The sequence below is a fragment of the Homo sapiens genome, chromosome 3, assembly GCF_000001405.40.
Source record: "Homo sapiens chromosome 3, GRCh38.p14 Primary Assembly".
NCBI classification, from domain to species: Eukaryota; Metazoa; Chordata; class Mammalia; order Primates; family Hominidae; genus Homo; species Homo sapiens.
In genome coordinates, this window is record NC_000003.12 from 19,876,280 (window position 1) to 19,898,656 (window position 22,377).

Here is a 22,377-nt window from a genome sequence, read left to right on the forward strand (position 1 = left end):
CACGGAAGAGAACCGTGGAACCCAGTGACTAGTGTTCAGCTCGATTAGGACGAAACCAGGCACTTAGCCATGCAGGAACAATGGCAACCCTTTAGCATGATCGGGAGTGGCAATGGGAGTCTGGCTGGTTCAGGAGCACAGCGGACACCCTGCCAGATTCAGAGGGATGGGAATCAGCAGCAGGATGGGAGTCAGCGGCGGGTCTGCGACAGTGGCAAACAGCAGTGGTAGACGGCGAGCGAAAGCTTAGCTGGAGCCGTAACAAACATGGACCAGAAGAGTGCAGTTGCAAGATTTAATAAAGTAAAATAGAGTGAAAACAGAGCTCCCATACAAAGGGAGGGGACCCAAAGGGGGTTGCCCCCATGTATCCATATCTTCTAGACAACAAGAGGTGAAGCTTTTAAATGATGTCAGTTCAGCTACCCTAATTTTTATTAAAAGGCTCAAACTTTTAAACAGGGTTTGCCCAGATAAGCAGCACTAGGTCCCTTGCCCCAAAGCCATCCTGCATTCAGGGCAGGGAGCAAACCCCTCAATCAGCTAAACTTAAATTCATGTGGCTCAAGGATCACTTCCATCACCTGTGCCACTTTGATTCTAGCTGGTTTAACTCATAGAAGAAACTTCAACAGGAGGTATGTTTCTGAATCCTAGGCAATTCCGAAACAAGAAGCAATGGAAGCAATTCCTAGGCACAGAATTGAAGGGGTGCACTTGAAAAGAATATTGACAATAGACTGCTAAATAGCACCTGCACTCTATTCAGTCCCTAGCACCTCAAAGAATAATGAAAAGTATAGAATAGGCTGAGTAGGGAAGACAGATACTTCATAATAAAAAGTAATGACCAGCCAGGCACAGTGGTTCACACCTGTAATCCCACCACTTTGGGAGGCCAAAGCGATGGATCACCTGAGGTCAGGAGTTCAAGACCAACCTGGCCAATATGGTGAAACCCCATATCTACGAAAAATACAAAAAATTAGCCTGCCATGGTGGCACACACCTGTAATCCCAGCTACTTGGGAGGCTGAAGCACAAGAATCGCTTGAACCTGGGAGGCAGAGGTTCCAGTGAGCTGAGATCGTGCCTCTGCACTCCAGCCAGGGTGACAGAGACTCCATCTCAAAAAAAAAAGGAAAGACTGGGCTTCCGTCCAAAATTTCTAAATTGCATGAAGGAAATAATGTTTCAAATGTCGTGCTCCAATAAGAGAAGACAGTATACATAAAGTAGATTTTTAGGCCAGATATAGTAAATGCATAGTATCAAAATTAACTTCATTTCTTCCAAATTAGTTTAAGTCCATAGGTCATAAATTCTAGCTAATGTACACATATGAGCACCCTGGTAAGTTTCAAATCAAGGTTTTCTCCATTTCTCTCCTTCACTCAGATATCACATAATTTCTTCTATGGCTTCGGTGACATACAGATACTGGGTTGTAGAAACACAATTTTCACTGAGAAAATTGCTCTGAGATAACTGCTCTCAGAGCTAAGAATTGGCTTATTTCCTAAATTTGGTGGGAGCTATGAAATCTTGTATGCCTTGTTACATCTTTGACTTCCTAAAATTGAAGCTCAGCCCGCTGAGTCACTTCAGTTAAGTGACTATGAGTTTAAGAGCCAGGATGGACCTATGGTCTTCCCAGTGAGAAGCAGCTCAAGACGCAGCTGCTTAAAGGAAACACACCTCTCCCCAGGTCTTCCAAACACCTTGGCTGAAACTAGGCAGAAGCAGAAAAAAGGGAGAGAGAATTTCCTTGGATTTTTAACTCACTGGACACTAGATAATTTGATTTCAGTCTTGAATTACTTTGAATTTTATCTTCAGATTTTAACTGGCAAGGAAATTTAACATTTGGGTATTATTTATTCCTGTGAATTTGACACTAGAAAGTTTATTCAAATTTTATCATCTTCATGTTTATCATCTTTATGTTGGCATTTTATTACCAGAGTATCTCAATGCTATTATTTATTCTCATTGTAGAATTCTCATTGTAGAATCCCTTATACGCTATGTTGGACCACATGACTGGGCATAAGTTGGAATGAGAAATAGAATAAAATGATAACTTTTTTATTTGTCAATGGAGTTTCCTTGACATTGAAAACGTACAGTTCTGACCCATTTTATAGGCTACCAGGGACAAAATATAAAGAACCCACCAGTGGTAGGAGGAGGATACACAAAGGAACCTCAATTGGTACTTTTAGAGTAGATTTAGGAAAGTGAATCAGGACCATCCTGAAAGATGGCTTATCTCCTCCCTTAAGGGCAACGGCCCCATGCCTGCTTGACCATAGTTTGATGACTTAAGCCAAACGTGTTAAGAAAGCATGAGTTTAGAGATCATTTGGAAAAGATTGCTTATTCCCCAAACCTTATAATGTTTTCTTTTGTCTTGTTTTTGCTGTCTTAAAAGCTTTCAATTTGTGGTTTTTAATATATGGAAAGAGCTCCTCTAGCTGTATTCTTCATTTGTTCTTTTAAAGAATTAATTTTTAAAAGACAAGTAATTTTTTAATAGAAAAGGAAATGTAAGGAAGTCAAGATCGCTTTTTTTTTTTCTTAAAATTTTTCACCTGTAGCGGGCGCGGTGGCTCACACCTGTAATCCCAGCACTTTGGGAGGCTGAGGCAGGCAGATCACAAGGTCAGTAGATCGAGACCAGCCTGGCTAATATGGTGAAACTCCGTCTCTACGAAAAATTAGCCTGACATGGTGGCACGCGCCTGTAGTCCCAGCTACTCAGGAGGCTGAGGCAGGAGAATCGCTTCAACCCAGGAGGCAGAGGTTGCAGTGAGCCAACACTGCGCCACTGCACTCCAGTCTGGGTGACAGAGTGAGACTCCATCTCAAAAAAAAAAAAAATTCACCTGTAGTTCCATGCACAAGATCTAGCTTTTAGTCCACTACATAAACATGAATCTCCTTACTCTTGGTGTGTTACTACATTTTGATCACCTGTGACAGAAATTGCAGTTCAAATTGGCTTAACCAACAAAGAAAATTAAACTTGGCATCACAAATCACACTATGAATTCAGACGGCCAACTAAAATATATGGAATTCTTAGGCCTACAAAACTTCTAATATCATTCTGAACTGTCTTTGCTGAGGCTGAATGTTAACTCTTCAATCACTTGTCAAGCTCTTAGGTGCTTTATGGAAAACAATAAATTTTAAAATCCAAAATCTAATTTATTAGCAACACATACAGGCATATGAGTCTTACCACTGTGAACTCTAACATAATATCTAAAACCAGAATGGATTCAACATTTTAGATAAACACAGAGTTAATAATTCTTTTGCTTGAATGAATGAAGTCCAAAAATATCACATGAGTGTTTTACACTTGATCCGGTCTGCATGCCGTAGCTCATCTAGAACATTTCTGATGTTCTCAACACAAACTTCTCCTCTGTGATGCTTTTTTGATGCAAGATTCCATACATTTTCAAATTCTTCATCAGACAGTTTGACACCAATGTTACACAATATCTCTGCAATCTAGAAAAAGGCATTTAAAATAGACCATGATTTATATGTTTTAAAACTTGTAATGAAAAATATCTTTATAACATCTAAGACTATGGATATTTTTCCAAAAAAGTATGTGTGAAAAGTATGTGTGTGTATGTATTTGTGTGTGTGCATGTGCTTGTATATATACATAATGAGAAAATATCAAAATTCTAATACTGTCAGCTCAGGAATAATTTTGTTATTATAATATGAGGGTGTTCAAATACACTAGCCAATATATAAAGTTATTTTCAACTTTAAATGTCTCATTATTTTAAGGAGAGGTAGCAAAATTTAAGTAAAAAGAGTGAAAAAAATAAAGAAGACTTGCTAGGTTTGAGTTCCATTTCAGTCATTTATTGTCATTTTGGTCTTGTGTATGTCACCTAAGCCACTTGAACATTAGTTTCATTTATTTATTTATTTATTTATTTATTTATTTATTTTTGAGACAGAGTCTCACTCTGTTGCCCAGGCTGGAGTGCAGTGGTGTGATCTTGGCTCACTGCAGCCTCTGCCTCCTGGGTACAAGCGATTCTTCTGCCTCAGCCTCCTGAGTAGCTGGGATTACAGGTGTGTGCCACCACACCTGGCCAATTTTTTTGTATTTGTAGTAGAGATGAAGTTTCACCATGCTGGCCAGGCTGGTCTTGAACTCCTGACCTCAAATGATCCACCCATCTCGGCCTCCCAAAGTGCTGGGATTACAGGCATGAGCCTCTAGGCATGGCCAAGTTTTGTATTCTTTAAAATACAAACATTTATAAAATGTATCTAACTGGCCTGTTGGAACTTTAACTATGTGTGCAAATGGCAGATAGTGTACCCATGATTAAGAGAGGACACTAAAAGCCAAGCACACTGAAAACCAGCAACCTTTGGTTACAAATAATCTCTCTACAGTGATAATTATTAAAACAGATGAAGGCGGGGAAAAACATGCTTCTTATGTCTTAAGAAAAATATAGGAAAGGAAAGTAAGAACTAGTAGCGGGAAGAAACAATAGAATGAGTAGTGGGAATAAAGTATGTGAAAACAAAATTTTAAAATGAAACTAAATTTAAAAGAAGCATTTACTATGAAGCATTCAGAAAAAAAAAACAAAAAGGGAAATGAAAAGGTTAGAAGCGAATAGCCAAAGAAATAAAATAGTTGCAGAATACATCTATTAAACAGAATCTCAACAATTAAAAAATCCCCTAGAAATGATGTACCCTTGTGGGAAATTAGTGTAATTAAATACAAATTAAGTACTATTCAAATACAAATCAAATTCTGAAATTCAGAAGAGCAGAGCTGCTAGCAACTGCAGCTATAAAGCAAAAACACAATACCCCTATGCATAGCTGCTATTTTCCCCACCCACTGGTAGTTTAAAAAGGCCCCTGCAGAGTGAGCTCAGGAATGGTTTGAGTCAGTCTTGAGCATCCCAGACCTTCTCCCCTGCTTCCTTCCCCACTCCTTGGAGGCTTTGCTCCAGTGGTTTGGCATTCTATCAGTAGTATGCTGACTACCTAACATGTCTACTGAAATCTATCCATCCTCAAGTCAACATTATTATTCCAAGCAGGTCTTTGACTTCTTACTTTTTGTCTAGAATTGTGGGATAAAAGATGACTTCCTAGTTAAAAGGATGACTTCCTTTAGGGGTTATGAAACAAGCAGGAGATTTCTGTTTCTTTTGGAAACCCTAAAGTTCTATTTCATAGGCCTTTCAGAGTGATTGAGGAAAGTGAAAACACAATCTGGAGGTTTTCTTCTTTGACCCACAGGAAGGATACCAAGTTCCTCCTTTGGGGCCAGTAAGAAAGCATCAGCCTCTGTCTCTTCTTCCTCTCTGTCCTGCGTCCGTGTGAAAGAATTGCTGGGATGCATCTGCCATTAATTCGGTTAGTATTTAATACATTTCCAAGCCATCAACCCTTCATCTGAAGTCCGAAAAGACATCGTATGTCTTTTCCTTTATCATTTCTAGCTCCAGCTATGAAGGTTCTGAAGAAGCAAGTACTCCCTGAATTATACCTGCTTTCCATAAGCACAGATGTAGACAGGCTAGTCTAACTGAGCACTGCTATCAATCTCTGGCCCTCAGCACCCCAGTGGCTATTCAGACCTAGCTGGTTTTATAACCCTAGCTTTATAACTCATCTAGGAAGAGGAACATCTCAGATGTGGGCATCATGTTTTCTGAGTCAAAAATAAATAAATAAATAAATAAATAAATAAATAAATAAATAAATAATTAAATAAGACAGATGTATTACCTTACCTGTGTTGTGGCAACAAGACAGAATATTTTAAATCAATGCTTGTCACAGATAATCTGAGACATATGATACCAGTGGACAAGAAGGGTAGCAAAGTGACCATCCTCATGCCCACTCTTAGTTCTAGAGGCCCAAGGCCATCAGGATGCTTACATAAGGAAGGGGTTGATCCTGTTCCTTTTCTCAACTAGAATAGTATTAAATGTTTTAGAAAAATATTTTTCTTCTTTACGTGGACCATATTGAATGTAAAATATGAATTTGCTCTTTCTGTCACAGCATAAATTCTACCTCAAGAATTGTACCAGATGTCACAACCAAGTTGAGGATTATTCATCAAGAATCCTATACTTGGGGATCCTGTAGACTTTTGTAAATATAAAAATTCAAGTTTTTAAAATTCTAAAATAGTAGTTGTTGATAGAGAAAACATTTCCATTTTTGTATGCTTATATGCTATACCTCTTCTTTTGATCTGGTCTTGAAGAAGTCTCTTTCAAACACTCCTTTCCGGGCAAAAATGGTAGGATATAGTAGTGAATATGCACTACCTTCTTCACCATAATTAGTTCTGTCACTGATGCGACGAATTCGGGGAGCAGGAATGTCAGATCGAATGGTTGGAACACCACAAATGGGGTAACCTAGGTCATTGATGAGGGAAGAAAACAGACATTCTAAAACAAAGCTGTGTAACACAGTAGCCACCAGTCACATGTGCATACTGAGCACTTAAAATGTAGCTAGGAAGAATTTTGGTGTATTCCAAATGTAAAATTCAAACATTTTAGTAAAAAAAGGAAAATATTTAATAATTGTTATATTGATTAGTTATTGAAATGATAATATTTTGAATATATATCGTATTAAAATTAATTTCACCTGTTTCTTTTTTTAACATGACTTTTTTTTCTTTTTCTTTTTCTTTTTTGAGACAGGGTCTCACTCTGTCACCCAGGCTAGAATGCAGTGGCATGATCACAGCTCACTGCAGCCTTGAACTCCTGGACTCAAGTGATCCTCCCACCTCAGCCTCCCAGGTTGCTGAGACTACAGGCGTTTGCCATCATGCCCAGCTAATTTTTGTATTTTTTGCAGAGACAGGGTCTCACTATGTTGCCCAGGCTGGTCTTGAACTCCTCACCTCAATTGATCCTCCCACCTTGGCCTCCCAAGATTCTGGGATTATGGGCATGAGCCACCATGCCCAGCCTGGTTTTCTTTAATGCTAAAAAGTTTGTAAATACATAGATGACTTCAATTTTATTTCTATTGGACAACACAGTCTAACGAGAGTAACAAGATTTCATTACTCTAGAATGTATAGCATGTCTATAAAAATCCAGTTGAGAAAAATATGTAAATCCTCAATCATGTCCTTATTCCAAGGATGTGATCTTGATCAACATAAAATAGTTTTTCTATATCACCAATATTCATCATGCTTCATATTGATATATGGATGTTATAGGTTGAATTGTCTCCTCCCAAAATTTAGATGGTGAAGTCCTAACCTCCACTAACTCAGAGTGTGACCCTATTTGGAAATAAGGTCTTTTCAGGTATAATTAATTAAGATAAGGTCATACTGGAGTATGGTGGGCCCCTAACCTAATATGGCTAGAGTTCTTGTAAAATGGAGAAATTTGGACACAGACATGAAAATGGGGAGAACACCACGTGAAGATGAAGGCAGAGATCAGGGTGATGCTGAAGAAGCCAAGTGGTGCCAAAGACTGCCAGCAAATCATCAGAAACTAGGGAAGAGGCATGGACAGATTCTCCTTTACAATCCACCAGAGGAACCAATCCTGCTGACACCTTGCACGTCAAGCCTCCAGAACTGTGAGACAATAAAATTCTATTAAGACACCAGTTTGTGGTACTTTGATACAGCAGCCCCAGCAAACTAACACATGGGGAATGAATATGCAGAGAAATGTTATGTAAAAGCTCTTTAAATATTTGAAGGCAGATATGTATGGAGCTAAGAATCATATGGTTTTAAAATCGTCTAATATTAATACTTGGTGGAGTCTGAATTACTACAATGTATAACATTCAATGTTCTGATCTATAATGGTTTCCATTTCATTAATATATAAAGAATCATTTTACTTTGGTCATCATTGGCAATTCCGTTCAATCAACATTTATATGTGGGCCTCTCCTCCCCAGGTGGTTAGAATATGAATTAAATGCAAGGTACAAAGCTTTGGGAAACTTAATCTAACGGAGAAAGGCAGGGGACAATGCAAGGACAGACAGAGGACAGTTTGTTGATGCTTTTAAAACTTGACAAATAAGTGACATACAAGTAGAAGGAATGGCTCCTACAATTGCATTGATCTCAGAAGAAGTTGTCTTATAGTAGTTGGAAACTTTATCACTTGGTCTCAGAAGTGTCCGGAGAGTCTTTTCTGTGCTTCCTGCTTCTTTTAAGACAATATCTTCTGGCTTTATGAGGAGAGTTTGTTCAGGTTCTTCAACATTAGCCTCAGTAGGGTTTACACAATCTGGTTTTCTACCTTTAAGGAAAATAAATGAAAGAAAAAATGCAGGAATACATTACTACTTAGTGCTTGCTGCTCTGTAACAGGATAAGTTTTCCCATCTAGTCTCTTCTTGCTAATGGAAACAGCTGGCATGACCCCTCCACTGACCCAACACCCAACTGTGGAAGAGTAAGTTCAGGCCAATGTCATATGCCAGGAAATCTGAACATGGCCTAATGTTTTCTTCTGCTACTCCACTCACTTTATTCTAGAATAAAGCTTTGAAATATGAGAGACCAAATGTAAACACAGAATCCATTCATTTCTTTTCTTAAAAAAAAAAAAAAAAAATAGAGCGGCCAGGCACGGTGGCTCACGCCTGTAATCCCAGCACTTTGGGAGGCTGAGGTGGACAGATCACCTGAGGTCAGGAGTTCGAGACCAGCCTGGCCAACATGATGAAACCCCGTCTCTATTAAAAATATAAAAGTTAGTCAGGCATGGTGGCAGGCGCCTGTAACCCCAGCTACTCAGGAGGCTGAGACAGGAGAATCACTTGAATCAGGGAGGCAATGGTTGCAGTGAGCCGAGATCGCGCCATTGCACTCCAGCCTGGAGGAAAACAGTGAGACTTCGTCTCAAAAAAAAAAAAAAAGCGTATTTTAATATTTAACTTGAACTACAGAGTTTTTCCTAGCACTATGCACTAGGGAGAAATAAGACAAGACATGCTTGTAGTGGAAAATTCCACATCTACTTGACTGGGGGGAGCATGCACTACAACATCAAGAGAGATGATAAGAACTCACTGTGAGCTCAAGAACTGTTTCTACAACTAACTCCTGACAAGTCAGTGTACAAAAGAAAACCCTGAGATAGAACTGAAGTTGTAAGACTGTCCTCTTTTGCAGATTGCTTTGCTGAGCCAATTCTGAAATTTAGGAATAAATTCCTGCAATCTTTTTCAGATCTGGTTACTACATATATACCACTAGAGAGCGCTGTGGTGTTCCCATCTTTAGAAAAATTCTAAAGGTTCTGGGGGAGCCCAAGTAAGGGTTGCAAAGGCAAGTGACCTGCTGGTATTAGAGAAGGGTGGATACCGTGGCAAACTAGAAAAGACTTACGTCTCTGAAGAACGCATTCCTCCCCGCAACCCCACCTCTCCCCACACTCAGTTCCTGCCAATTGCTGCTCTGAAAATTCTCAGGCCCACTGTTCCAGATCCTCTAACCCTCCACCTCACCAAAAGTAGAAATCTGGACAAAGTTTGAAAAAGAATTTCTCAAAAAATTGGAAGATTACTTACCCACTTTTCTCCAAAAGTCAACAGTAAGATAGAATTTGGTATCAGAAAAATTTTGGCAGAACATTCCTGGGCCCCCTCTAGACCTACTGACTACAAACTTGACAGTTTCTACCCTAAAATCATAGAAGATGAAAATCCTTAAAAACTCCATTTAAAATGGCTGAAGAAATCAGCATCCAAAAACCAGAAACAATTTGAAGAATTATCTGGTCTGAAATAAGCTTTTGCTTTCTACCACTACTTCATGAGTTGTGCCAAGAAGGAAGCTCTGTCACCCCTGTTTATGAAAGGGTTGGAGTAGAGCTGTTTTCTATAAAAAGCTTCATTAGGTAGGGAAGATTCTGATGCTTTCCTAGTGGATAGAATAGAAAGGCTAACCCATAAGGGCTCGCATCATCAAGAGAGACCAAAATTTGGTTTTGACTTCACAGAAAGGCATGACCCAAGAATAAAAGTGAAAATAGTAGTATCTCCACTTTTTAGAAGAGAGACATCCCGAGAGAAAATAAAAATGTAAATATCTTTTTAAAAAGCTGAACCTCTAATAATTAAGATACAAAAATTAAGGTAGGCTGGATGCAGTGGCTCATGCCTGTAATCCCAGCATATTGGGAGTCTGAGGAGGGAGGATCCCTCAAGCCAGGAGTTCACAACCAGCCTGGGCAACACAGCCACTCAAGAGGCTGAGGCAGGTGAATCACTTGAGCCCAGGAGTTCAAGGCTGCAATGAGCTATGATTGCACCACTGCACTCCAGCCTGGGCAAACAGAGTGAGACACTGTCTCAAAAAAAAAAAAAAAAAAAAAAAAAAAGCAAGGCAAATGAGGTATTATTATAAACCAACTAAAGTACAACAATGTAAGAATTTTTGTTTGAAATAACACTCAATGGTAGTGAGATTGGAGTAAAACCTCACAGACTTAGCTGATAAAATTGCAAATCAGTAAAATCATTTAGAAAAGCAAAATGAAAATAGAGTTACTTCTGAGACAATAATAACATTCATAAGAAATGAGAAATAAAAAGCTTTTTGAGATATGATCATTATAGCATTGTGCATATTACTTTTAAAATATCTAGAAACAGCCTAAATTTCATAGAGTGAAGAAATGGTTTAGTAAATCATAATATATCAGCATGAGGGAACTGAAATGTAGTTCATAGAAACCAAAAAAGCATTTCTTCATTCCTTAGAAATATGAAAGCTGGCTGGGCATGTTGGCTCTTGTCGGTCATCCTAGCACTTTGGGAGGCCAAGACAGGAGGATCACTTGAGGCCAGGAGTTCGAGACCAGCCTGGGCAACATGGTGAAACCCTGTCTCTGCTAAAAATACAAAAAATTAGCCAGGCATGGTGGCACACACCTGCCATAATCCCAGCTACTCTGGAGGCTGAGGCACGAGAATCACTTGAACCCGGCAGGTAGAGATTGCAGTGAGCCAAGATCACACCACTGCACTCCAGCCTGGGCAACAGAGCAAGACCCTATCAAAAAAAAAAAAAAAAAAAGGAAGAAGAGAAATGCGAAAGTTAAATTTTAAAAAGCCTTATATAGTATGTTCAGTGTTATTTTAGACATGCTTAAAATATATACATATACACATATGTATATATGTATATCTATATATGTAATGATACAGAAAGATAAAATGTAGGCCAGAGGTATCCAACCATTTGGCTTCCCTGGACCTCACTGGAAGAAGACTTATCTTGGGCCACACATAAAGTACACTAACACTAAGGACAGCTGATGAGCTTAAAAACAAAATGTCGCAAAAAAATCTCATAGCGTTTTAAGAAAGTTTACAAATTTGTGTTGGGCAGCATTCAAAGCTGTCTTGAACCAAGGGTTGGACAAGCTTGATGTAAACATTATAACATTTGAATCAAAAGTAAAGATTATGCTGTTTTTCCTTTTTATACAAAATTTTTAAAATCTAATTTTATGTCAAATTGTGTGTTTCCTGGGAAAGGGAATTAACTACTCAGATAATCGTTTTTAAACAGGTTTCTGAGAAACTGTCTTTTATATTTTGAGCTTCAGTGTAAGTTTTGTGCTTTTAATTTTTTTGAATAAATAATACATGGTTCCAAACTCAAAAGATACAAAAATATAGATTAAAAAGTGAATCTCATTGCCACCCTGTCCCTCAGCCATCCAACTGCCTCTTCCTGGAAATAATAAATATTATTGATTCTTTCCTACACTACTACAGATATTCCATGCATAAACAAGCAAATAAAAACCATGTATAAATGTATATTTTTATTTTTCATATAATATTAAAGTTGAATATAGCTGAGCTCTTAGAAAAATTAAAATACAGAAGTCCATTTAAGAATTCAGCAAATGGCTAAGCATGCTGGCTCACACCAATAATCCCAGCACTTTGGGAGGCCAAAGCAAGAGAATCCCTTGAACCCAGGAGTTCAAGGGCAAGTAGGACCAGCCTGGGCAACATAGTGAGACCTCGTCTGTATTAAAAATAATAATAATAAATTTTAAAATTTAAAAAAATAATAATTCATCAAACCTTCAAAAATTAAATACCTTTAATAATGACCCTCTCTTCATACTCTTTAAGAAGCATTTTGTCTTTCCAGTTAAGAAAATTTGCGAATTCCAGATAGTTAATGAAGCCATCATTATCCACATCACAGTAGTCAAATAGCTGGTCCAGGAGCTTGTCATCTAAACTCAAGTTGGCCTGGTCACAAGCTTCCTGCAGCTCGTCTTTATCTATCATCCCATCTCCCTTCTGTTATACAGGAAGCAAAAGAACATAAAATGGGAGTTGTCTTCAAGAGCAGAGTAGGCAACATTATTTAGTTTAAGAAAAAAGAAATAGCTTCATCACATAAATTCAAATTTGTCTCAATTTTCACAGAAGAGGAGTCAAATACGCTGGTTAGACCGTGGTAGAGCATTATTACCATGATATGGGCTTGACATTTCATATGACCAATAGGTGTGTACTTTTGACAGCTCTCTACAATTTTTATCCTTACAAAGTTTTTAATACCTTCTGTGTTTTAACCTGGCAATAAATGGCCCTTCATTTCATTGCCTGTTATTAAGGAGAAATTGGGGAGATAGTTGCAGGACAAGTTCACGGAGGTGGGTTCAAAGACAGTGGTCTGGTTTTCATAACACTCCTATGGGCAAGAGGGAAATGCTACCAATCTGATGGTCAGCCCCATTGAAACAAGTAACACTAAGATTCATCCTGGTAAGTAGGGGGAGGAGGGTGGAGGGAAAAAGTCTCACCTCCTTTCAGACAGCAGTTAAAGACAGAAGTACCTACACTGAGTATGAACAGAGGGAAATGTATAAGGGCTCTCAGCAGAAACTGGCTGATTCACTTGGGAGATGAAGGGGCAGAGCACACAATGTTCGTTAAGGAAGAATGTCAACAGCTGGGACATCTTAGCACTCAGTCCCTCCTGCAGTCTATCAAGCCAACCTTAAATCCATTCAGAGATGATGGCAAAGGTCCCAGTTTTCTTGTTTGTTTCTGCAGTGAATTCTTCCTGCTATAAGGGAGCTTTGGCCCCCTCAGAGAGACTTCCCTGAGAGGAAATAACTCCCAAGAGGAATCATAAATGAGTCACTGCGTAGTATTTAAGCTCTTACTGCCCAGGACTGGATTTACAATGCTGATGGAGGCAATCCCCTGGAGAACGAGAAACTGACTCGATGAATTATAAATTCTTGCAGTCAGACCCACAGCCCTGGAAAACTTCCCTACTTAACCCTTGTATTCAAACAGAATGAGAACTTAAAATATATGATCTTGACAATACAGCTGCAAATGCCCTGGATTAAAGCAGACTCCTTTATAAAAGTCTCTACTACAGGCCAGGCACGGTGGCTCATGCCTGTAATCCCAGCACTTTGGGAGCCTGACCAACACGGAGAAATCCCGTCTCTACTGAAAATACAAAATTAGCCAGCGTGGTGGCACATGCCTGTAATCCCAGCTACTCGGGAGGCTGAGGCAGGAGAATCGCTTGAATCCAGGAGGCCGAGGTTGCAGTGAGCCGAGACTGCGCCATTGCACTCCAGACTGGGCAACAAGAGTGAAATTCCATCTCAAAAACAAACAAAAGTCTCTACTACAACCAAAAATGCAAACCCACACTCATCCTAGCTGAAAAGCAATGCGGGATGTGGCTGTTGAATCAAGAGAGCCCCAAAACTGAAACAGATGCTGTCAACGATAAATTACCGCCTAATATGCAGGGCTTTGTGTGCACTGAAAACACTGGTGGTTTGTTTCATGGAGCTACCATGCCACCACCATGCCACTCAAAATCAAAGTAAATATTTCTTACTTACTAGTGCAAAGCCATTCTCTCCCTCTGCACCCTTAATCCCTCCCTCCCCCAAGCCCTGATCTCATCCGCTTTAGGGAGAAAGATGATTAGAAGTAGGACCAAGGGCTCCAGGTCTTCAAGAGGGATGCATCTGTTCAGTGGGGTGAGATTCTCACATTTTTATGGTTTGGATACAGTTCCCAAAGTCATCATCATAGTCAGTCCTGGGAGAGGATGGTAGGGAAGGATGTCCGAATTCAGTTAATGGGGTTTGGGCACAGTTTGCAGAGAAGAATTAAAGATAACCATGTATTATTGCTACGGCTTCCAAGCCTGAATATTTAATTGGTATTGATGCTTTCCATGTCTGTAGAGTGAATGTTCATATGTGACAGAGGGGATTATCCTGATCAAGAAGAGCCATGTATAGACAATTGTTATTACCTTTGGGACCCCATAACCCTAATGACTCCTTTGAGTTACAAGTCTATAACTGGTGGTTTTGCCAATTAGAGCCTCTGGAAAAGAAAGGCAACCTTCACTTGGAGGTGCACCGTGAAGTTTAGGACTTATTGCCTCCCTAACATAATTACCAGGTAGACCTCTTTTGAAAAGCAGCTATTAGCCTGTCACTGAGCTCTTCTGGAAACTGAACACTGGACCCATGGAGGCCTTCTGACTCTCCAGCCAATAATCATTTTGAGGCCGGCCAACTTGGACTAAATGACTAACAAAATGAAAAAGGAGCAAACAAGCCTCATATGTCAAATGGAAATGGCATATTCAAGAATGCAGCCAGCCCAACCCCAGTAACATCTCAGCTTTACGTGTAAAAGAGTAGCAATATTTTTGTTGTTGTTATTGCTGCTGCTGCTGAGACAGGCTATCAATCAGTTGTGCAGGCTGGAATGCAGTGGCACAATCATAGTTCACTGCAGCCTCAAACTCCTGGGCTCAGGTGATCCTCCTGCCTCAGCCTACTGAGTAGCTGGCACTACCACTCCTGGCTAACTATTTGTGTTTACTTGTAGAGATGGAGTCTCACTATGTTACCCAGGCTGGTTTCAAACTCCCAGCCTCAAACTATCCTCCTGCCTCAGCCTCCCAAAATGCTAGAATTGTAGGTGTGAGCCACCACACTCAGCTGAGAAGTGATCCTTTAGAAAAAAAAAATTATTCACCACTCTGTCACCTGAAGCAAAGCCACTGGCTCAAGAGGACCCTCAATTCACAGAACCTCCTCTAAATGCCTGGGCCTGTTTCACTTATAGTCTGGCTGAGCTGAAACCTGGTGGTCTTCACTGAGCTAAACTAAAGGCCATTCTCATGGCTCTGGCAAATACTCCCCTTGATAAACCTGTTATATTTTTACTGACTCTTGGGCTGTTGACTGTGGCCTACCTATTTGGTTGGCCACTTGGAAAACAATAAAATAGCAGATTAAAGACACCCCTTTAAGGGACTGCAAACTATAGGACAAAAATTATGGCTACTGATTGAACTATCTGGGTAGTTCATGTAGATACTCACCATAAGCATGGGAATGATTGGAATCAAGCTGCTGATCAAGCCTGAACCATCCAGATTGCCAACATTGCTGCCTGTACATACATGGCAACACACCCCCATTACACACAGAGCACAAGGTAAAGAACTCCATGTTTCTAATGCAGAAGCCACCACTACATGCCAAACTTGTGACTGCCAGAAGTTGACTCATTTGTCTTACGGTGAGAGAGGACACATCACACATAGGGATCTCCCTCATGCTCCTGACAGACTGACTACAGTGAACCTCTGACCCCTCCCTCCTCAGAGCTATTGGTGGTGCCACACCAATATTGACACTTATTCAAGTTATGGAATTGCCATTCCAGTCCAATCATATGGGTCTAGTCCCAACAGTAGGGCCCATAAAGTTAAGTTAATCTGGGTTGTGCGTTTTGCTTTCTGGAACATTTTCAGTCTGTCAATGGGGTGCACCCTATAGCACAAAAGCTATTCAGCAATGAGCTATTAGTCAAGGTATTCAATGAAGCTTTCTTACTCCCTACCGTCCATTGTCATATGGTATTATTGTGCATTGGAATGGCCTTCTCAAAAACTGTCTACTTCTCTCACCAGCTCCTGGTGCCCACATCTTAGTAAAGCTGTTTGGTCACTCAATGCAGCTGTCCCCAGAAAGGACTCATTCTATCTCAGCTGCTTCCTGAATAATAATCAGAATAAAAGGGGCAGGGGTTATAAAGACTTATTTTGAAAATTGGTGTTACTTCCATGACCATTCCTGGACATGGTGCAACAGCACCATGCAACAGCAATCCCGGGCCAGTAGGGTTGGTCCGCCCTTTTGGTAGCAACCAGGCATAAAAAGGATTCTAGGAGGTTCAAATTTAATTCTATTTCAGCCTCCTGATTTTCTTGTTGGGTTTACATAATCCTTGATCATAAGGATAATAACCACTTGGTTGAGTATACTTCTCAAAAATCAGTGTGAGAGCTGGGAGCAGTAGCTCACATCTGTAATCCCAGCAACATGGGAGGCTGAGGCAGGAGGATCACTTGAGGCTCAGAGTTCAAGCCTGCAGTGAGCTATGATGGTGCCACTGCACTCCAACCTGGGCAACAGAGTGAGAATCTCATCTCTAAAATAAAATAAAATAAAATAAAATAAAATAATATAAAATCAGTATGTTCCATCCCAGTAGCTATAACTTCACCTTTTTCCCAATCATATTCTCTATTTTCTTTTTTTTTTTTTAGATGGAGTCTCGCTTTGTTGCCCAGGCTAGAGCGCAGTGGTGTGATCTCAGCTCACTGCAACCTCTGCCTCCCAAGTTCAAGCAATCTCCTGCCTCAGCTTCCCGAGTAGCTAGGATTACAGGCATGTGCCACCATACCTGGCTAATTTTTGTATTTTTAGTAGAGATGGAGTTTCGCCATGTTGGTCAGGCTGGTCTCGAACTCATGACCTCAGGTGATTGGCCTCCCAAAGTGTTCGGATTACAGGCATGAGCCACCATGCCCAGCCCATATTCTCTATTTTCGCCTAGACCTTTTGTTAGGAAAGGTCAGATATAAGAGGGACCAGGGATTTCTTAGAAAAGTTCCAGAGATCTGTTTTATTCTCTTTTATGCCTGACCTTTCCAGACAAAAGTTCTAGGTGAAAATAGGAGGTAAATGGGAAAAAGGTGAAGTTATAGCTACTGGAATGGGATACCCTGATTTTGTGGCAATAGGGGGAGCGCAGCAACCGAGCTCTTGGAGAGAGAACACTTTAGACCCAGGATGTTCAGGGGAGTGACAGACATCATGATATTTTGTTTTTCAGCCCACTCCTGAAGACTGCATCATAAAGAAAAATGCCTTAGTGCAGTTCTCTCAAACTGTTGGTGACACCTTAGTTTTAACTGACTGCCAGGCAGTTCTGACCACAATTTGAATGACATCCACCTCAACTTTACCAAGAAATCTATTGGAAACAGCAGAGAATGACCCTAGTTACTGCACCTCCACATTGAACACCTTTGGGTATCTTCCCCAGCCCCATTTGCAGTCATTCCACAAGGTGAGCAAATACCATCAGCTGGTGGCATGGACAGACAGGAGGTTGGACTTACTGACCTTATGCAGCCCCTCCAAAAACAAGGACTATACACAATTATTGAACCTAACTGAGAATCCTATAGCCTAGCAGCAAAATTTATTTTAGGAAACTATTCTAGTTTTAAGTTAACAATGTTTACATATTGACAACAAATGTGCTGTTTAAGTGAGCACAAATCTATACATCCTTAATTAGACAATTAATTAAAAGAGAAAATCATCAGCTGACTTGCATTGCTAAGAACATCTGTCATGAATTACATAGTCTATGATAGCTAGGAGCAAAAATCCCTGATTGCAACTCTGAGTTTATCATAGTACTTGGGCCTCACTCTACTTCAGTGTTGTGTTACATATGTTCAACAACTGACTTTTTGGCAGTGTGGTGGAAAAAAGCCCTGATTTGTAGCAGGTGCTGCTTTCCATGGTGTTCATACTCTCATCATGGTAATTTCTAGCTACCATTGTGATGTCAACTGGCTTGTAAGCTTGCTGCAAATTTAACAGTATGCTCTCTCAAGCCAACTCTAGCACACTACTGCTACCCAATGTGTAACTCTCCCTCTAGATTTTCCATTCCCTAAATGGAATGTCTACACATTATCTGGAATAATGCTTGATGTATTATGATTACTCAATAAATAGCAGAATTAATTTCATAAGCCAAGAAGATTCATTTAGAAAATCATAGTTTATTTGCTCTGTTGTGTTTGTGTTTTGTTTTTCCATTAAATTAAATGTGGCATCCAATAATATAAGATTTAAATAATCAAAAATTAACCTACAGCTGTACTAGACCCACATCTTATTACCCTCTCAGAAAAAAAGCTCCTTACGGTGACTGAATGCTACATTGTGCATATTGAGTTAACTATTAAAAGGTATATCAAGGCCAGGCGCGGTGGTTCATACCTGTAATCCCAACACTGGGAGGCCGAGGCAGGTGGATGACCTGAGGTCAGGAGTTCAAGACCAGCCTGGCCAACATGGTGAAACCCCGTCTCTACTAAAAATACGAAAATTAGGGTGTGGTGGCAGGTGCCTGTAATCCCAGCTACTTGGGAGGCTGAGGCAGGAGAATCGCTTGAACCTAGGAGGCGGAGGTTGCAGTGAGCCAAGATCACGCCATTGCACTCCAGCCTGGGGGACAAGAGCAAGACTTTGTCTCAAAAAATATATATATGTATATATAAAAATATATAGTTTTTATATATAAATGTTTATATCTATATATTATAAATAATATATAAATATATACATAATTTATATTTATATATCAACATATATTTATATATAAGCATATATGTATATGTAAGGCATATCAGCATTAAATAATTCTCAGTAATTTCCTCCCTGCTTAATTTATCATAAGGAATATGCTTGGGCCAGGCGCGGTGGCTCAAGCCCGTAATCCCAGCACTTTGGGAGGCCGAGGCGGGTGGGTCACGAGGTCAGGAGATCGAGACCATCCTGGCTAACACGGTGAAACCCCGTCTGTACTAAAAGTACAAAAAAATTAGTCGGGCCTGGTGGCGGGCACCTGTAGTCCCACTACTCGGGAGGCTGAGGCAGGAGAATGGCGTGAACCCGGGAGGCGGAGCTTGCAGTGAGCCGAGATGGCGCCACTGCACTCCAGCCTGGGCGACAGAGCGAGACTCGGTCTCAAAAAAAAAAAAAAGGAATATGCCTGGTGGTTTACTTAGATAATCAACAGCTATTAAGATGATCATCTTTCCTTTAATTACATTTAAAATGAAGAATTCTTAAAAGCAGGGCACTACGTATTATGGCAGGTTCTCTTATTCATGTCACTACCATTATTTATTGAGTTGGCTCCAAGCTTCCTGGTAACCAAAGTAAAAAGGTGTGCATAATCAATACAAAATACATGCTATCCATGAGATAAAAACCAGTCATCAGATACTTAGATGAAGTGCAATTATTTCCTTTGTCAAGACTGAGTTTCTTATAAGGAAGATGCATCTGACAAAAATAAAAGCCTCATGGGCATACTAACAAAAAATATGCCACGTTTCAATGGCAGTTTCTTATAGTGCTCCTCAGCATAAGCTAAAGGCAGTGCAGCTCGGTAAAAGCAATTCTGTGATGGCCTAAAATGAAGCAAGGCAATTATGTAGCCCTAGATTGATCTGATTTTATTCAAAGAATAAAATTTAGAGTAGCTTGAACATTGAATGATCTTACACTCTCAAAACTAAAACCACACCCTGCTCCCCAGGGAAAAGACATTCTAAGCTTGACTTGGACCTAGAATGCAGGTACTCTGTGTACATATTCAGATTTAGGTGTAGATTGTCAAGTCTTCCCCAGGGATCCCCAGTGCTACCCATTGCCCCTTGCTCCCAGCACACTGCAGTTTAATAATCCATAACAGTGGTTCTCAAACTTGAATGTGCATCAGAATCACTAGAGCACTTGCAAAAATTGCTGGGTCCCACCCCAGAGTTCCTGACTCAGTATTTTCTGAAATGGGCCTTGTAATGTGCATTTCTAACAAGTTCCCAAGTGATAGTGATGGTGGTAGTGGAACCACACTTTGACAACCAATAATCTACAAAAGGGGTCAGCAAATGTCTTCTGTTAAGGGGCAAATAGTAAATATTTTAGGTTTTGAAGGCCATACAGTTTTTGTTGCTACTACCTAACTCTGTATTCATACTGCAAAAGCAGCCACAGACAATACTGAAAACAACACAGGCGTGATTGTGTTCCAGTAAAACTTTACTGACACAAACAAACAGTGGGCTGGATTTGGCCCACAGGCTATAGTTTGCTGACCCCTGATCTACACCAAACTGCTGGGATCTGTAAGCCCATGCATTACCAAAAAGCTCTCCCCCATTACTGGCCTTGTCATAGTGCCTGAAGGCTGCCAGCAAAGTGTCAAACTTTTGGTAATTAACTTTCTTCAGGTGATGCCGAACTGCTGCAATCAGGGCTCGCTGTCTATCCTTGCCTCGAAGATATTCATCCGGAAGTCTATTATGGATGAGATCACCAACTCCTATTGAAGAGAGAAAAAACTTTTTACATAAATTTAAAGTCTTTCTATATTATTTCTATCTTTTAAAAAAAGTGAGAGATCTAGCAACCTCTGTGAATGAAAGAAACATCTAACTCTGACATGATTATGCAGCATGTCAGAAAATCCTTATGTACTCTAAAGTACATAAATTAATTGATAAAAATTAATATTCCTGGTTTATGTTACCTCTCTGCTCAAGAAGAAAATCTAAAAGAATGAATTTTGTGTGGACATCACCAACCGCACTCAACTGTCAAGTCTTTTCCCTGGACAGTGAAGTTCTTGCTTGACTACCTCTTGGCCATTTGTCTACAGTGCTGAGGATCTGAAAGCTAGGGCTGATTCCAGGTGGGGACCACTCAGTGTGCCTTGGAACTGACTAAACTGGGAGAGCCTTGTAAAAATTAAATTATCTACCCTCTCCTATGTGAGTTTCCAGTTGGCCGTCAGTCTGCATACCAACTTCCCATTTCTCAGCCTTGCTTCCACTCATGCCACCACCAGCACTAGAGGCCTGCCTCCCTTCACGGCTCCATTAACTAAGAGTCCTGACCCACACCCCAACTAGAGTTGACCATGCTGCTCCAGATGTGGCGGCTCGGTGGATATCGCCAGAGGAGACCTCCTGCCTCTCTTCATTTTCCCTGGCGTACACACATCTCCCATCTTTCTGCCAGGACTCTCAGCTTTCTCTTCCTTTTTTAATTCATCAATTCATGCTATAAATATTGATGAAAGATGTCCTATGTGCTGGACCCTGAGGATCCAACAGACAGCAAGACAGAGCACCCACCAGCATGAAGCTTGCCCTCAAACAGGCAGAATTTACCATGATTACCTACTTCTTTTTCAAGCTAATTGATGGTTTCCTAATCATCCCTTACCCTCTTCAAAAGATATTAAAGCCTCTAAGATGGATAGGCATCCATCAAACATTAGTAGTTTGTGTAAAAACAGAACCCAAATACAATTTCCTAATGTAGTAATTAATGATGCTCCAAACCACTGTCTTGCATAAGCTCAATAAATATTTATTCTACCTGTCAATGAGTTGACTTTAGCCAAAACATTTTTCATAGTGGTTCTTAAACGTTAGTGTATATAAGAACCTACTGAATCAGAATATCTAGGGCATGGGTCCCAGGAAGGTGCAGATTTAATAAACTCCCTGGATGATTTTAATGCAGGTAGTCTGCAGCCCATGTTTTGAAAACCACTGATATACAGCCCAATCCTGATAAGCTGTAGCATATTTTTCCCTTTGGATATCTGCTGTTTAGATTGGCTAGAAATAAAGACAAAATCCAAGTAAGTTTCTTCTGCTACTTTATGTATTGATTGATTGATCAACTTACTGGCTAGCTGGCTGGCTGGTAGGAAAAGAGTGGTTCTTAATTATGTGGTTGTAGAGTACAGTGCTTTCTCATATTTGAATGTGCTTAAAATTCACCTGGAAATATAGTTAAAATGCAGTTTCTGATTCAATAGTTCTGGGATGGGGCCTGAGATTCTGCATTTCTAAGGAGCTCCCAGGGGATGCCAATACTGGCAGTCTGCAGACCACACTTTGAGACGTTAGGACTAGGACAATATCCAAATTAATTAAAAAGCTGCCCCACTTCACTTTGGCTTGTTTAATATAGGCCATATTTATTTTTCCTAAATAAAATTCAAAGCCTTAACTACACTTACAGTACTTATTACAAGGGCTTCCAACTGTACCTATTTCAAACATAATATGAAAAAAAATTTACTTCTGTGTTATACACTTTTCTCATTAATGTTAATGCAACA

The 22,377-nt window shown here is 40.0% G+C and overlaps 1 protein-coding gene across 6 annotated transcripts in view, besides 1 other annotated feature; it reads right to left on the reverse strand.

The window, feature by feature from the left end:
• Positions 1 to 3,192: 3,192 nt before the first annotated feature.
• The window catches only part of EFHB (EF-hand domain family member B), a 67,512-nt gene continuing 48,327 nt past the window's right edge, over positions 3,193 to 22,377 (reverse strand). For 4 of the 6 annotated variants that reach the window (NM_001330688.2, XM_011533385.3, XM_011533382.3 and 1 more), the window contains 5 exons: positions 20,408 to 20,562; positions 12,165 to 12,372; positions 8,124 to 8,336; positions 6,271 to 6,452; positions 3,193 to 3,525 (listed from right to left, as the gene is read on the reverse strand). In NM_001330688.2, coding sequence (NP_001317617.1) covers positions 3,352 to 3,525; positions 6,271 to 6,452; positions 8,124 to 8,336; positions 12,165 to 12,372; positions 20,408 to 20,562 — 932 coding nt within the window. In that variant the 3' untranslated portion in view covers positions 3,193 to 3,351. Of the gene's footprint in view, positions 3,526 to 6,270; positions 6,453 to 7,466; positions 7,652 to 8,123; positions 8,337 to 12,164; positions 12,373 to 20,407; positions 20,563 to 22,377 lie in introns of those variants that run through there. The other 2 variants (XM_005264889.3, XR_940383.3) reach the window with 2 other exon arrangements.
• Positions 10,779 to 10,948: an enhancer, noted in NCBI's record as "experimental_67669 CRE fragment used in MPRA reporter constructs". NCBI's record gives its function as "activates a minimal promoter by MPRAs in K562 erythroleukemia cells, with activity observed for both the introgressed and non-introgressed 3:19928635 variant alleles {active_cell/tissue: K562}" and the evidence as "EXISTENCE:reporter gene assay evidence [ECO:0000049][PMID:34662402]".